This window comes from Homo sapiens, chromosome 5, assembly GCF_000001405.40.
Source record: "Homo sapiens chromosome 5, GRCh38.p14 Primary Assembly".
NCBI lineage: Eukaryota > Metazoa > Chordata > Mammalia > Primates > Hominidae > Homo > Homo sapiens.
In genome coordinates this window covers 141049818-141065400 of record NC_000005.10, presented here as the reverse complement: position 1 = coordinate 141065400, position 15583 = coordinate 141049818, and the positions used below count along the sequence as shown (strand labels likewise).

At 38.7% G+C, this 15583-nt stretch overlaps 1 protein-coding gene, 1 long non-coding RNA gene and 1 further gene across 2 annotated transcripts in view, besides 1 other annotated feature; 1 reads left to right on the top strand and 2 right to left on the bottom strand.

The window, feature by feature from the left end:
• The window catches only part of PCDHB@ (protocadherin beta cluster), a 197972-nt gene extending 183965 nt beyond the window's left edge, over window positions 1-14007 (bottom strand).
• PCDHB1-AS1 (PCDHB1 antisense RNA 1) overlaps window positions 1-15583 on the top strand; it is a 31827-nt gene that overhangs the window by 12631 nt on the left and 3613 nt on the right. The window contains exons 2-3 of the long non-coding RNA NR_105056.2: window positions 7551-7651; window positions 14231-14522. This is a non-coding gene — a long non-coding RNA (PCDHB1 antisense RNA 1). The remainder of the gene's footprint in view (window positions 1-7550; window positions 7652-14230; window positions 14523-15583) is intronic.
• PCDHB1 (protocadherin beta 1) lies at window positions 6055-14027 on the bottom strand. The gene has a single exon (NM_013340.4). It carries the CDS (start codon window positions 13928-13930, stop codon window positions 11474-11476), a length of 2457 nt encoding a protein of 818 aa, NP_037472.2. The 5' UTR covers window positions 13931-14027; the 3' UTR covers window positions 6055-11473.
• Window positions 13618-14446: an enhancer, noted in NCBI's record as "NANOG-H3K4me1 hESC enhancer chr5:140430540-140431368 (GRCh37/hg19 assembly coordinates)". NCBI's record gives its function as "activates a minimal SCP1, AML or CMV promoter by ChIP-STARR-seq in naive H9 embryonic stem cells {active_cell/tissue: H9 hESC(naive)}" and the evidence as "EXISTENCE:reporter gene assay evidence [ECO:0000049][PMID:30033119]".

The window sequence follows — 15583 nt, the reverse complement described above, 5'->3', positions numbered from 1 at the left end:
CTCCTCACCCCAAAGTGCTGGGATTACAGGCGTGAGCCACCGCGCCTGGCCACTCTATTCTTTATTTATACTTTAATTGATTTCTGCCCTTATCTTTATTACATCCGCTTTCCTCTTTGAGTTCGCTTATTACTTTTTAAAAATGTTTGAACTCATTTGCTTTAAATATTTCTTTTTTTTTTCTCACACATGCATTTAAAATAAAAAACTTCCATCTAAATTCTTTTTCTCTGCCCCAAAAATGTGGGCCAGTTATATTTTCACTGTTGTTAAGTTCCAAGAACATTGTACTTTTCTTTAAGATTTCCTCTTTAACTCAAATATTACTTAATAATTTGCTATTTAGGTTCCAGTAAAATAGGATATGTTTAAAGAAATTTTTTGGTAATTATTTAAAAATATTTTTGCATTTTGATAGATATATCTGCTTTGATTTACCTAGATTTCTTGACACTTTCTTTCTAGACTAGTATTCAGCCATTTTTTAAGATTATTCTATTGTGTGCTCAAAAAGAATGTATTTTTTGTTCTTGTGATGAATTATTTCTTAATATATTGCTGCACATCAATTATGATTTTCAAATGTTCCTTAATTTTACTTGTCTTTGATGTTTCTCAATGTAGTGTATTAAAAATTCCATGTTAGTTGCTGATTATCTATTTCTTTCAGCATTTTTGGTTGTTCCTTTATGTATCTTGAGGCTCCATTATTGAGTGTATATATTTTCATGATCATTATATCTTATTGATTTATATTTCTTTTTGTACTTGTCTTTTATATTATTAAAATTATTCTATATTTTATTGGATTAATATTTGGATGTAATTCTTTTCTCATCCATTTACATTTAACCTTTCTTTATAACAACTGTCGTGAATCTGTTTCTTATAGGCTCCACATTTCTAGGGCTTGATTTTTAATTCAAACTAAAATTCTCTAACTCCTGATGGGTGAGCTTATGTATGTTTATTTTAGTTACTGTTATTTTAGCACATATCTCTGCCATCACATTTCAATATTTCTTTATTGTTTTTAACCCCTTTCCTGATTCCTACTGGCTAGATAAGATTTTGTTCTGCTAACTGGAAAGTCATGCATTCTATTTATATTTTTCTGGTGGTTACTACTAACTTATTAAGACCCATGCTAACTTTCTTTTTCTTACCTATGTCTTAAATTTATTTGTGTAATATCTGCAAGGCATTTTTCCTTTGATCCCAGAATGCTGGGATTATGATCCTAAAAGAGGTGAAATGTGTTTCAGGAAGTGCTCCAGCATAAGGCAAGTAGTGACAACATGACCAGTTCTAGGAAATTTTCCTCTAGCATCCTTCACATGAAGAAGTGTAAGAAAAATAACATATGTCTGAAAATATCCACACAATAAATTGGCTGAGTATTTGCCACATAGCCCTGAAATTTCCCAGTAGTTCTCTTGGATGTTAATGGCACACAGCCATCAGCTTTTTTTTCTATTTTGTTAGTCTTTTCCAAGAACCAATACCATGTATTGCTTGCATCCAGTGCTGCTAGTGAGAAGTCTGTTGTCAGTTTCATCGTGTTTCATTTTATGTAATGTGTTCTTTCTCTTTGTCATTATTATGCATAAATTTCACCACAATTTGTCTAGGCATGGCTTTGTCTTGTTTACTACTCTGCAAGCCTTCCAATCAGAGGCCTTCTTTCATTATTCTTTAATTCTTAGACATTTGTTTCTGTAATTTCTTCAAAAACCATTCTCTCCATTTTTATATTTCTGTTCTTCTGGGACACCAATTTTTATGCATTGCTACTTCTTTTAGCCTCTATATCTCTTAACTTTAATTATATATCTTCTAATTATTTTTCTTTCCCTACTTCCTTCTGAGAGAATTTTTCAATGTGATCTTCTAACTCACTAAGTAGTTCTTCAGCTTTATCCTTTCTATTATCTCATCTATTATATACTTTGCTTAAATAATTATAGTTTTATGCATACTATTTTCACCTTATTCTTTAAACTATTTATAGTTCTTCTTTTGTATAGCTTATTTTCATAAGTTTGTTATGCTTACTTTTAAATTCTTGGTTCTACAGTAATAATATCTCAGTTCTGATATTAACAGTATAAGTTTATTTTGCTTTTTAAGTACATATGTTTTCAAATATACCTACTATACCTAAGTAGGTTTACTTTCAAATATACCTACTTATTTTGAGCCAATATTATCAACTATTCTTTCTGATAATGTGTATGAAGAAGAGACATGGACTAGATCTAGTCCTTGTCAACCAAGATGAGATAGAGAAGAATGGAGAGGGTGCAGTCTATGGTGGAATTTCCTAAATGCCAGGGAATTCCAGTTAATCACTACTGTCTCATAGCCCCCTAATCAAACAATTCTTCAGGTTTGGATTTTACCTTCCATTCACCTTTTTCCAGAAAAAAAGCATTACATGAAAGAGTTACTGTAAATTATAATTCACCAACAATGGGATTTGAGGTGAGGGGAAGGGGAGGGTGAATGTCCAAGGCTAGTCAGTATACAGTTAATTAATATAAATTTTTGACCCAAGCAGATTTTTTAAATTGCCTTGACTGTTACCTGTGATGAAAACTATACCCGCAATCTGAACTGTTGCCACTTACTTCCAGTGAGAAGGCAGGAAATCACTGTCCAAAGGTGGGAATAGGAGATTTATTTTAAATATATCATACCACAAACATGATGGCTTACCCTCCTTCCCAGGCTGCAGCCACCACTAAGCCTTAACACACCAGTATTAAACAGACTCCATCCTCCTCAAAAGCTTCTTAGGGTTTTTTCATTATTTCCTAAGTTCCTAAGTTCTCTGTCTCTCTCTCTCTCTCTCTTTTTTGAAACAGAGTCTTGCTCTGTCACCTACACTGGAATTCAGTGGCACAGTCTCAGCTCAGCTCACTGCAACCTCCACCTCCCGGGTTCAAGTGATTCTCATACCTCAGCCTCCTGAGTAGCTGGGATTACAGGTATGTACCACCACACCTGGCTAATTTTTGTATTTTTAGTAGAGATGACGTTTTGCCACGTTGGCCAGGCTGGTCTCGAACTCCTGGCCTCATGTGATCCACCTGCCTCAGCCTCCCAGAGTGCTAGAATTACAGGCATAAGCCAACCACCCAACCACATAAGTTGTATAATGTTTCAATATATGGTTCCTCCATGACTGCTCTTGCAGTATCTGTAACCCATGCTACTCTGCCGTCTTGGCAAGAACCAGAATCAATATATGTCTCTTCTCTGCCATTTCCTCAATTCTTCTTCTGGAATGTCTCTGGGACCTATATTAGAGTTTTTCCATCTATCTTCCATGTCTCCTGTGGCAGCTTTAAAAACTTTTCTCCAAATTCTTTACCACTCCTTTATTCAAGAGGTAGGACATATGTCCCCTTATCTTGAATTTGGTCTCTGTGACTGCTTGACCAATGGAAAGTGTGGTGAAAGTGATACTTGCTGTTGTAACCCAGCTACCATGTTTTAAAGAAGCCCAGGCCACATAGACAGGTATTATGGTTCACTGCCAGCATCAATCATGGAAGAGAGGTCACCTCCAAATGATACTAGCTCACTGCCACTATGTCACTCTCAGCCTTTGAGTCTTTCTACCTGAGGCCTCAGGCATCACAGAGCAGAGACAATTCATCCTCATTGGGTCTTGTCTGAATCCCTGATCCATGGAGTCCCTGAGCATAATATGTCTGTTCTATGCCTTTAAGTTTCAGTGTGGTTTATCACAGTAGATAACATCTTTAAATACTCTTTCGTAATTTGTATCTTTTTGTTCAGTTATTGGGCAGATCTTAAAAATCTTCCTTTATCTCAGATAAAAGGGTTTACTGAACAACAAAGGGTTATTCTGAACAAACAGGGTTTACTGAACAACAAAATAAGGGTTGTTGAAAGGGTTTACTGAACAACAAAATAAATGATAGAATTGAATTATAACCTAAATAATAGAGTAAATATCCACGTGTCCATATATAATTCCATAGTTACATACCAATTTACTAATTTAGTCTTCATTAGCTTCCAGATTGAAGTTTATACTATCTATTGAGGTTTTATTACAATTAATAAGTTTCATTTCTAAAATTTCTGGTTGGCTATATTTATATGGATCCATTCTTACTTTATTTCAGTCTTTTTTTATTTCATAACTTACTATCTTTGGTGGGTATAACTTCTAAATTCATCTCTGCAAGCATCTTAAACAGTTTTATGTTGAATGACACTTTTTGAAAATGTCTTCCTTTTCATTCCTTTCTCTACTTATGTCCATTTCCTAGACCCTGGACATGGTCTAGAATCAGGTTGTATAGTAATGATTTGGGCTTCTGACCCAGCATGGTACTGGAAATAGTACAGATGACTACATTAAGTCTGTTGGCTACAGAGCCCAGTACATATTCTGGATGTTGTTTCTGTGTCCTCCAGCCTTCATAGGCCTGCAACATACCATAATGTATAGCTTCAGGAATTTTTTGGCAATGGCTTTTCAACCTTCCTTGACCCATCCTACCTCTTGGCTCTAACCAATGACACTGGCTTTTATTCTCCATTTTTCATGGTGAACATTTTGTTCCTGAGAGCCCATAAGAGCCAAACCAATGGTAGCCTATGCCAACTTCCCATCCTGATAGCTTGGAAATCCAAGGATTTTATCCCCACTTACCATTTTATGTCTGTTTCATTTCTGGTTTTCCTTGTTTTTGGTTTTTTTTTTTTTTTTTTTTTTGAGATGGAGTCTCACTCTGTCGCCCAGGCTGGAGTGCAGTGGTGTAATCTCGGCTCACTGCAACCTCTGCCTCCTGGCTTCAAGCGATTCTTATGCCTCAGCCTCCTGAGTAGGTGGGATTACAGGTGCATGCCACCACGCCCAGCTAATTTTTGTATTTTGTAGTAGAGACAGGGTTTCACCATGTTGGCCAAGCTGGTCTCGAACTCCTGACCTTGGCCACCCACCTCAGCTTCCCAAAGTGCTGGGATTACAGGCATGAGCCACCGTGCCTGGCCTTGCATTTTTTTTTTTTTGGCCAGGGGCGGGTAGTGGGGGGTACGGAGTTTAGCTCTTGTTGCCCAGGCTGGAGTGCAATGGCCTGATCTCGGCTCACTGCATCCTCCGCCTCCTGGGTTCAAGCGATTCTCCTGTCTCAGCCTCCCAAGTAGCTGGGATTACAGGTTCATGCCACCACACCTGGCTAATTTTTGTATTTTTAGTAGAGACGGGGTTTCATCATATTGGTCAGGCTGGTCTCGAACTCCTGACCTCAGGTGATCCGCCTGCCTTGGCCTTCTGGGATTACAGGTGCAAGCCACCACGCCCAGCCGCATTTTTTTTAATTTTTAATTTTTACCTGTTACTGCTGTATTTAGAGCAGAGCGTGGTACACAGAAGCATAAACTTACTTCACCAGCTTGACCAGAAAACTTTTGTTACTTTCACTTTTTCACATTCTGTTTCAGTGGTTTTTTTGTTTGTTTGTTTTTGGGGGTTTTTTTGTTTGTTTTTTTGAGACTGAGTCTTACTCTGTTGCCCAGGCTAGAGCGTGGTGGCATGATGTGAGCTCACTGCAATCTCTGCCTCCTGGGTTCAAGCAATTCTCGTGCCTCAGCCTCCCAAGTAGCTGGGACTACAGGTGTGAGCCACCATGCCTGGCTAATTTTTGTATTTTTAGTAGAGAGGGGTTTCCACCGTGTTGGCCAGGCTGGTCTCGAACTCCTGACCTCAGGTGATCTCCCCACCTTGGCCTCCCAAAGTGTTGGGATTACAGGTGTGAGCCACCATGCCCGGCCTGTTTCAGTGTTATATAAACACAACAAATACTTTAATAATGTTTTTTAAAAGTGTTACACATATTTGAAAATGAAGTCAGACTTTTGGTTGAAGAATGAATGTCCACTTAGTCACATACTTTGAAGATATTAAACTCTACAGAAAATAGCTATTTATATGGGATAATCATATGAATGAATTATGCTTCCAAGAATAAGACAAATTCATCCCTAAATGGAAAACAACAAAAAATGCACAAACATGATAAAGAAATTCTTTATTTTTAGGAGAATTACATAATATCAGACAGACCAATTCCATTTTTTGTATATCTGTAAGTCTAATTTCAGCATATAAGTCTATTTTTAAATAGTATCTCAGGTATATATAGCTTAAACTATATAAACATGTCTGCACAACAAATTTTAAAATTTTCAGTTTATATCTATTTTAAAATGTATGACTAATTTAAAATTATGTTAGTATAATTTTCATTTAAAGTTAAAACTTTATGCATGAACCTTAATGGGGTTACTTTATGATTGTTTAAAATAATCTAACATGTAGAGTTACAAAGAAATACTAATTTTGATAAAAATGTATTCTATATGGATAATTCCAGTCTTAAAAATCTGCTCTTCATCTCAGATAAAAGAGTTTGCTGAACAACAAAGTAAATGATAGGATTAGTTTGTAACCCAAATAATAGAGGAGATATCCAGGTATCCTTATGTAAAGAAATAACTAACTAAATAAGTGGGGGGGAAAGTAACAAGTTTTCCTTCCAGAAGAATTTTAATTAATGTAAAAGGAAATAGAGAAATAGAAAATCACCATTAGAATGCCACAATATTAATTGCCACAGGAAATATCTAGCAATGGATACTAAAATTGGTTTAAGCAGAAACATCATATTTGCATAGTTTCAAAGCATATCCCCCAAGTGTTTATTAATTACAAAGAGAAAAAAGTAACTTTATAGTAGAGAAACGTGGCAGACATTATGTTAACCAAGCGATCAAAATTAACATCACCTTAACATTACTTAAAAATGGCTAACATACTTAAAAATGGCTAACATGGTACATTTTATAAGTTCTTTACCACAATAAAAGAAAAAAGATTAATATCACCAGTAGTGTGACATTGGCATCACATACCTGCTGACGTGATGCACTGAAAAGGATACAATATCATTTCTGCAGTATTTTTCCCAATAATGCATTACCTCAGTTTAATAATGAGAAAACAAAGAATCCCAAACTGAGGGGCATTCTACAAATAACTGGCTAGTACTCTTCAAAAATCTCAAGTCATGATAGACAAGGTAAGAGTAAGGAACTGTCACAGGTGGTAGAGACTAAGGAGCCATAACAAATGCTTTGCAGGATCCTGGATTGGATCCTTGAATAGAAAAAGGACATTGGGGGAAAACTGTTAAATTTGAATAAGATCTGTAGTTTACTTCATAGAATTATACCAAGGTTAATTTCTTAATTTTGATAACTACTATGGTTATATAAGATGTTAGCATTCCGGGAAGTTAGGTGAAGGATATACAGGAACTATCTATAGTATTTTTGCAATTTTATGAGTCTAGAATTATTTCCTAATAAAAAGCCTTTTTGTACAAGACACTTTTCAAGGTTCTTAGGTTATAGCTTTGAATACATAGAAATAGTTATAATATCACTTGACACTTTGGAGAGAGTAATTGCCCTAATTATTTCCATTCTTTGTCTTAATTTGCTGATAGAGACCTGGACTTAATCTCAGCTGGTGTACAGAGTTCTCTCCAAAAACAAGTGGCCTACTTCACATTCAGTGAATTGATATATTCTTATTTTAAGTTATCAGGTAGGATTGGAATTTTCTTGGGAACTTGAAGTCTGAATAAAATTAGAGTGACAAAATTTTCACCTAAGGCAAAAATAAGAAAAATGGTGGCAAAATAATTTTTTATTAAATCGATACATTTTTTAAATTTAAAGGATGGTTTCTTTTATGAGATTGTTATCTTACCTTTTTTTTTCTTTTTTCTTTTTTTCTTTTTTTTTTTTTTTTTTGAGACAGAGTCTTGCTTTGTCGCCAGGCTGGAGTGCAGTGGCATGATCTCAGCTCACTGCAACCTCCACCTCCTGGGTGCAAGCAATTCTCCTGCCTCAGCCTCCCAAGTAGCTGGGACTACAGGCACATACCACCACACCCAGCTAATTTTTGTATTTTTAATAGAGACATGGTTTCACCATGTTGGCCAGGATGGTCTCCATCTCTTGACCTTGTGATCCATCTGCCTCAGCCTCCCAAAGTACTGGTATTACAGGTGTGAGCCACCATGCCCAGCCTATCTTAACCATTTTTATATTAAAATGCCATTTCGTTTATGGAATAATGGTGGCGTGAAGTGGTAGATTTTATCTCATTTAATGTGAAAAAATAAAAAGTTGACAAATCTACATCTTCTGTCCATTGTGTATGTGTGTATATATGTATTCATGAATTTCACTGCTATTTGAATATCAAAGTCTTAAAATCATGAATCTACACCATTTTCTTTTCCTATCCTTGACATTAAGCCAGTTTCCATTGATTATGTTCACATCATTAAGTGTAATGAAACACAGTTAATACAGTAGCTTTTACTTAAGCATGTTTTATTAACTAATTATTGCTTACCCATAAAAATTAATTCTAGGCTGGGCATGGTGCTGTAATCCTAGCACTTTGGGAGGCCAAGGCGGGTGGATCACCTGAGATCAGGAGCTCGAGACCAGCCTGGCCAACATAGCGAAATGCCAACATGGCGAAGCCCCGTCTCTACTAAAAACACAAAATTTAGCTGGGCGTGGTAATGTATACCTGTAGTCCCAGCTACTCAGGAGGCTGAGGCAGGAAGATCACTTGAACCCAGGAGACGGAGTTTGCAGTGAGCCGAGATCATGCCACTGTACTCCAGCCTGGGTGACAGAGCAAGACTTTGTCTCCAAAAAATAAATAAATAAATAAAAATTCTATCTCCTTTTTCATTTAAAGGAAATAGAAATTTCAGCATGCCTTCACCAATTGGAACACAAATACACTGGAACACTTATTCTATGTTTTGTGCAAGAAAACCTTTACTCTAAATCGGAATCATAACTCAATGTATGTAAAATATTTAATATTAAAAATAAAAGCAATTCATTGATATAGTGCATTTGCTTCATCTGTTCTTTAACATTTTAACATTGAAGGCAGCCATAGGTTACACCAGTTCTGCCCTAAGCATCTCTAACATCTAAAAAATAACAGCACTAAATTTTAGTGTATTCCTGGCCAACAGGTAAACAGCCAGGTGGTGCCATTAGGTATCAGTCATTAAGTCCAAGAATGAAGTTTGTATCAATAAACATGATTTGGTATATTTAAGAAGTATTTTAAAAGATAATGCTCTACCCTTAAAATACCAAGAGGATGTATTCTAGTGAGTCTGAATTTACACACATTTTTATAAAATAAGGAATATAATTAAAGCCTCATTAAAGCACACTTTTTTTTTTTTTGAGATGAGGTTTCACTCTTTTGCCCAGGCTGGAGTGCAGAAGTGCAATCATAGCTTACTGCACCCCTGAACTCCTGGGCTTGAGCAATCCTCCTCCTTCAGACTCCTGAGTAGCTGGGACTACAGGTATGAGCCACCATGCCCTTCTCTAAAGCAAACTTTTGACTTTCAAGGCACAGTTAGCAGTGTTGGGAGAATCCCTGAAATATGTTAATGTTTTAACATTGGCTTATTTTAGAATGAGAGGGCTCAGAATAGCTTATGAAATCAAACAGTGGTGATCAAAGAGAAGCTTAAGTTGTCTCCCCACTCCATTTCATTTTATGAATGATTTACTAAAAATGCCACTTTTTCTCAGTTTGCATGTGTTAACTTCAGAATACTCAGAGAGGAAAATGGCTTACAATCAAATCTAGTACTACCTGAAAATGTGTCTTTCCTTAATGCCACTTAATTAGTATTAATGAACTTTTTAATTTTAATGTCTTTTTATTTTATATTTGCTCTACAAACTACAAAATGGTTTACAATAAATGTTGTGTACACTTAATGGCACAAAATAGTTTAGAGTGTTCTGTAACACTTATTAACTACAGCAGGCCTTATGTATTTATGTATTTATGTATTTATTTTTATGTTTTTGAGACAGCGTCTCACTCTGTTGCCCAGGCTGGAGTGCAGTGGCACAATCTCAGCTCACTGCAACCTCCACCTCCCAGGTTCAAGCGATTCTCCAGCCTCAGCCTCTTGAGTACCTGGGATTACAGGTGCGTGCCACCACGACTGACTAATTTTTGTATTTTTAGTAGAGATAGGGTTTTGCCATGTTAGCCAGGGTGATCTCGAACTCCTGACCTCAGGTGATCTGCCTCCCTCCGTCTCCCAGAGTGCTGAGATTACAGCCATGAGCCACGGTGCCCAGCCGTCATACTTTATTTTTTTCCTCACCCACCCTCCATTTCCGTTTTTTCAAATAGATTTTCTCTGGGACTGCAAGGATAGACATCTGGATATAAAAGAGGGAGATTTGAGACTTGCCTATGGCTCCAAACAATCAAGAAATCAAATCTGGCTGGGCGTGGTGGCTTATGCCTGTAATCCCAGTGCTTTGGGTTTCCGAGGCTGGTGGATCACCTGAGGTCAGAAGTTCATGACCAGCCTGGCCAACATGGTGAAACCCCGTCTCTACTAAAAATACCAAAAAATTAGCTGGGCATGGTGGCGCATGCCTGTAATCCTAGCTACTCAGGAGGCTGAGGCAGGAGAATCGCTTGAACCCAGGAGGCAGAGGTTGCAGTGAGCCGAGATCGTGCCATTGCACTCCAGTCTGGGCAACAAGAGAAAAACTCCGTCTCAAAAAAAAAAAAAAAAAAAAAAAAAACAACTACATCTAATTTAATTTTGGAGAACATTCCTAAACTGAATCTCTTTATCCTTATGTCTGCCCTTATTCACATTTGCAAATAAGTGAAATCCTTTTCTTTCTCCACCCTTCCTCCCACCATGATTATTTGTGAAGATCACCATTTACCAGGCATTTCCATGATTATGATTATGAATGATTGCAGGCAAGGTATTGATCAAAGATAATCACTCATCAGGGACAAGAATTTAGAGATTCCTGAATAATAAACTATATCTCTGCTTGTCAAACCTAATCACTTCCCAATATATCAAAAAGGGAAGGTAGTTCTCTTCCCTATGCATGCATAACTTTCTACTGGAAAATAATTTAGAGGCAAATAAAAGGATCTCTCTATGGAACTAAGTATTTCCTGGGCCAGGACCAATGAACTTCTAAGGAAAATGTGAATAATGGCTTATTCATTACTTGCTAGCACAGAGATGGAAAAGCAGAAGTTCCTACCACATATGCATTTATAGAGGGTGACATTTCTTTAAACAGAATTCCAACTGGAGAAAGGGTTATAGATATATGATCTGGGGATCAGGATAACTGCTTTGTATTGAGTAAGCCTAGCCTCACTCTAGGTTTCCCATTTTCACCAAACTAAGTACTCTTATCTTTACTAAAGCTGCAATCTACTACCAGTTTTTGTTTTAATGAGGATGTAACATCTTTGCATACCAAGTATAAAATTTTGCTTCTCTTCTCTCACTGAGCCTGTAAATAGGAGCTACATATAGTCATCAGATACCTGGTCATGGCCCTCTAATCTCTGAGACTTATTCCTATCAGAATTTGGGGGCAAACTGGAGCCAGCCTCCATTTTTATCTCCCCAGTGGCATGAGGGAAAGGGAAGTTGGGCATAAAACGCTTAAGAAAGCGAAACTCACTATTACCAGTGCCAGTGGCTGAACACATTTCATATGGACAAGGCCGAGATAAGGATCCATTGCCTTGTCCTTGTACCAGGTTGTTAGAGAAATTACAGTCATCATAGAAATGCTCTTGAATTGTGAACTTTTCTCTATATTTAATCTTTTGGTAGACATGTATAATGAAGATCACTATGACAGAGAGGAGAAAGAGAAAGGAAAGGATGACCAGAGAAATGACCAAATATTTAGTGGATGGATTTACCTTTCTAGAATGCTTGGTTGGATCCTGGAACTGCAGGTAGGGCTCTGAAAAGCCATCTACCAGCAGGATGTTGAGTGAGACAGTAGTGGAAAGAGCTGGTTGGCCGTGATCCTGAACAAGAATGATCAATTTCTGCATCATGGGGTCTCTCTCAGATATCTGCCTTAATGTATGGATTTCTCCATTTTGTCTTTGAACAGAAAATAACCCAAGGTCAGTGGCCTTAAGTAGATGATATGAAAGCCAAGAATTCTGACCTGAGTCACCATCCACAGCCACCACTTTGGTCACTAGGTAGCCTGCCTCTGCAGACCTGGGCACCAGGTCATTGCAGGGCAAGGTGCCGTTCTGCAGTGGGTATAAGATCATTGGACGATTGTCATTGTCATCTAGGACAACCACTCTGACAGTAACTTGGCTACTCAGTGACAGGAAGCCCCCATCAGTTGCCTTTACCACAAATTGAAAATCTTGAATGGCCTCATAATCCATGGTTCTCAGCGCGTAGAGCTTCCCATTGCCTGAATTTATGGATATGTAAGCAAAGACTGAAAGATCTCCGTTTTTTGGAGGCAACAGAGAATATGTTATTTGGGCATTCTCACCCAAATCAAGATCCTCAGCATGGACTTTGCCAATAAAAACCGCAGGACTGTTGTTTTCTCGAACAGTCAAGATATAGGAATCTTCCCGAAATATTGGAGGATTGTCATTAACGTCGGATATTAGCACCTCTATCATAGTCTCGGCAGACAAGCTAGGTGGTCCAGTATCCATGGCAACAATGGTGATATTATAGCCTGAGACCTCCTCCCGATCCAAGCTTCTGTCAGTGACCAGTGAGTAAGAATTCCCAAATGTAGGTTTGATTACAAAGGGAAGGTCTTCTCTGAGGAAGCAGGTGACTTTTCCTCCCACTCGAATGTCCCGGTCTCTGATAGTGAAAAGGGCTACTACTGTCTGTGGTGGTGAGTCTTCAGGGAGTGGGCTGGACACAGAGGAGACCATCACTTCGGGAGGATTGTCATTCACATCCACCACTTCTACCAGGACTTTGCTGTGGGCAGAGAGGCCTCCACCATCTGTAGCTTGAATGTCAATGTCGTATGTTTCAATGGCTTCAAAATCGAGGGGTCCTCTTAGTCGAACTTCTCCATTTTGAGGGTCAATCTGAAACGTCTTGAGAATTGCTTCTGGGTTTTGAGCTAAAGAGTAAGTTATCGCTTTGTTGGTGCCCTCGTCTAGGTCCACGGCAGTCACCGTGGCCACCAAAGAGCCATTGGGGCTGTTCTCTGATACCTGGGCTCTGTACACCAGTCGCGAGAACTGGGGCACGTGGTCGTTGACATCCAGAACCACCACGTGGATGTGAGCTGTGCCAGACTTAGGCGGGGACCCGCCGTCCACCGCCGTAATTGTCAAGTTGACTTCAGGCTGCTCCTCTCGGTCCAGGGGTTTGTTCAGCACCAGCTCAGCATATTTAGGCCCGTGGCTGCAGAAGCGGGTGTGCAGGTGGAAATACCCATTGGCACTCAGGGTGTAGTTCTGGAGACCGTTAAGGCCCACGTCCAGATCCTGGGCGCTCTGCAGAGGAAAACGTGAACCCAAAGGGGTGCTCTCCGGAATCTTTAAAAGCGGCTCCTTGTTTAGGAAAACTGGGGCATTGTCATTGATATCAAATACCCTGACCTCGGCCCGGAAGGACTGCAGCGGCTCCACCAGGACTACTTCAAAGTGCAGAACACAAGGGTCGGCTTTGCCACAAAGTGACTCCCGATCCAGTTTCTCCTTCACAAACAAATCTCCCGTCTTGCGGTGGAGCCGGAAATGCATTTTGTTGCCCTCGGAAACCAGCCGCGCCCCGCGCGCAGCCAGCTTCCCTACCTCCAGTCCTAGGTCCTTAGCTACGTTGGCCACAAACGAGCCGCTCTCCATTTCCTCTGCCACTGAATAGCGGATAGTTGTCGCATCCCCCACAGATATGCACAGAAAAATGAGAAGAGATCCCACTTGCCTGTTTTGCAAAGATTTTCTGCGCGTACCCGCCATCAGTTCTCACAAGCGCGCTCTCTGCAATCAGAGCCAACTGTTGCGGATATACTTTCACTTTTCTGCAACAGGTTACTGCAACAGCTGCTCTCCGCTTCACTAGCCTCTAACTGCAGCACCACCAAAGGCTAGCCGAGCCCATTAAGCTGTTTTGCACTTGAAAGAAAATTTGCATTGAGCGACTCAACTCCCCAGTCTAGCGAATGTATTAATAGATATGTTCTCATTCCGGAGAGTTAGGTAGAGGTTGAAAGTTTGTTGCCAAAGCAACAACAGACTCACCTGTTAATTCCCTTTCAGGAAAAAAAGTCCTTGGGAATTGAGAAGCCAATGAGATTAGTCGTTCAAGCTGAAGTCATTCTATCTGCTAGCTGTCTGGAGCCACTGAAGCTGTGGGCGAACAGCAACAAGTTTAAGCTACATCTGCACACTCTGCGGTCCATCCAGAGACCAAGAAAGAAGCACAAGGATCCTGCAGAGTCTTCCGAAGCCCAAGCCAAATATATGAGGCAGGGAGCTAGAGAATGTGGAGGAAGTGGTCAGTAGGAAAAGGAATGGGAACAGACATTCTCCTTCAGAAACTTGAGGTCCAGTAAGTACACTGACAGGGGACTAAGCCAACTGACCTCTTGATTTGCACTACGCTATCATGCTACTTCTACGTATTCGCTCCGCCCCCCTCCAAATATCTGTATACACGTGCACAAAGGGAGCAGCTGGCTTGTCACTTATGATTATAATGGCAGTAGTATTTATTGGATATGATTTCCATGTACTGAGACTATGACAAGTGATTTACATGCATTATTTAATTTAATACTTGCAACAACTATATGGAGTAGACATTATTAAAAAAAAAAAAAGACAAAGAAAGTGAGATGGGAGAGGTTATGTCAAGGTCCCCTACCTAGCAAATGTTAGAAATAAAACTCAATTTAATTTTGTCTGACTCCGAAGTCTATGCTCTTAATCAGTACACTACTCTGCTTCCCAGATAATATAATGAATAAATCAAATGAAGATAAATATTTGGTTTTGGATTTTAAAGCAAATAAAATAAGATTGCTTACACATATTGAAAATGACCTAATAGAAATATAGGAGATATTTGTTGAGTTTCCTTTATGATCATAGGATAATAGAATGTTTAATAAGACATTTCAGAAAGATGAGATCCAGTCTCCTTCTCACCCACTCTCCACTTTAAAAAAAAAAAAAAACAGATGAAGAAACTAAGGCCCGAAGTGATGAAGTCACTTGCCCAATTCATACAGCTACTCATGGCAGTGTAAGAACTAGAACTTGTCTTCTGATGCTGTCTCATGCTCATTACCTAAAACATTTGATTTCTCATTTGTGCTCAATACTTTATGTCCCAGGTGCTATAAAATTATGGCCACTTAACGGAAATCTAACTATATTTTCCAATAGGAAAAAAAGAATGAAAGTAGAAAGTGTACAGAACATTAATTACATCCTGACATGAGGGAATTAATGAATCTCTCAATCTCTGTCAGTTATTTTAACACCTGGCTTAAGTGTGCATCCTTAAACAGTTTAGTTTTGCCTCTTTTGAAAACTATATATCTTACTTGAGTATGAGTAGAAATAAAACAAAACTATGTATCAAGTAAAGTGTACAGTAGGTAATCC

Excerpts from the sequence above, each read along its gene's own strand:
- PCDHB1 (NM_013340.4), bottom strand. The coding sequence starts at position 13,930 with ATGGCGGGTACGCGCAGAAAATCTTTGCAAAACAGGCAAGTGGGATCT.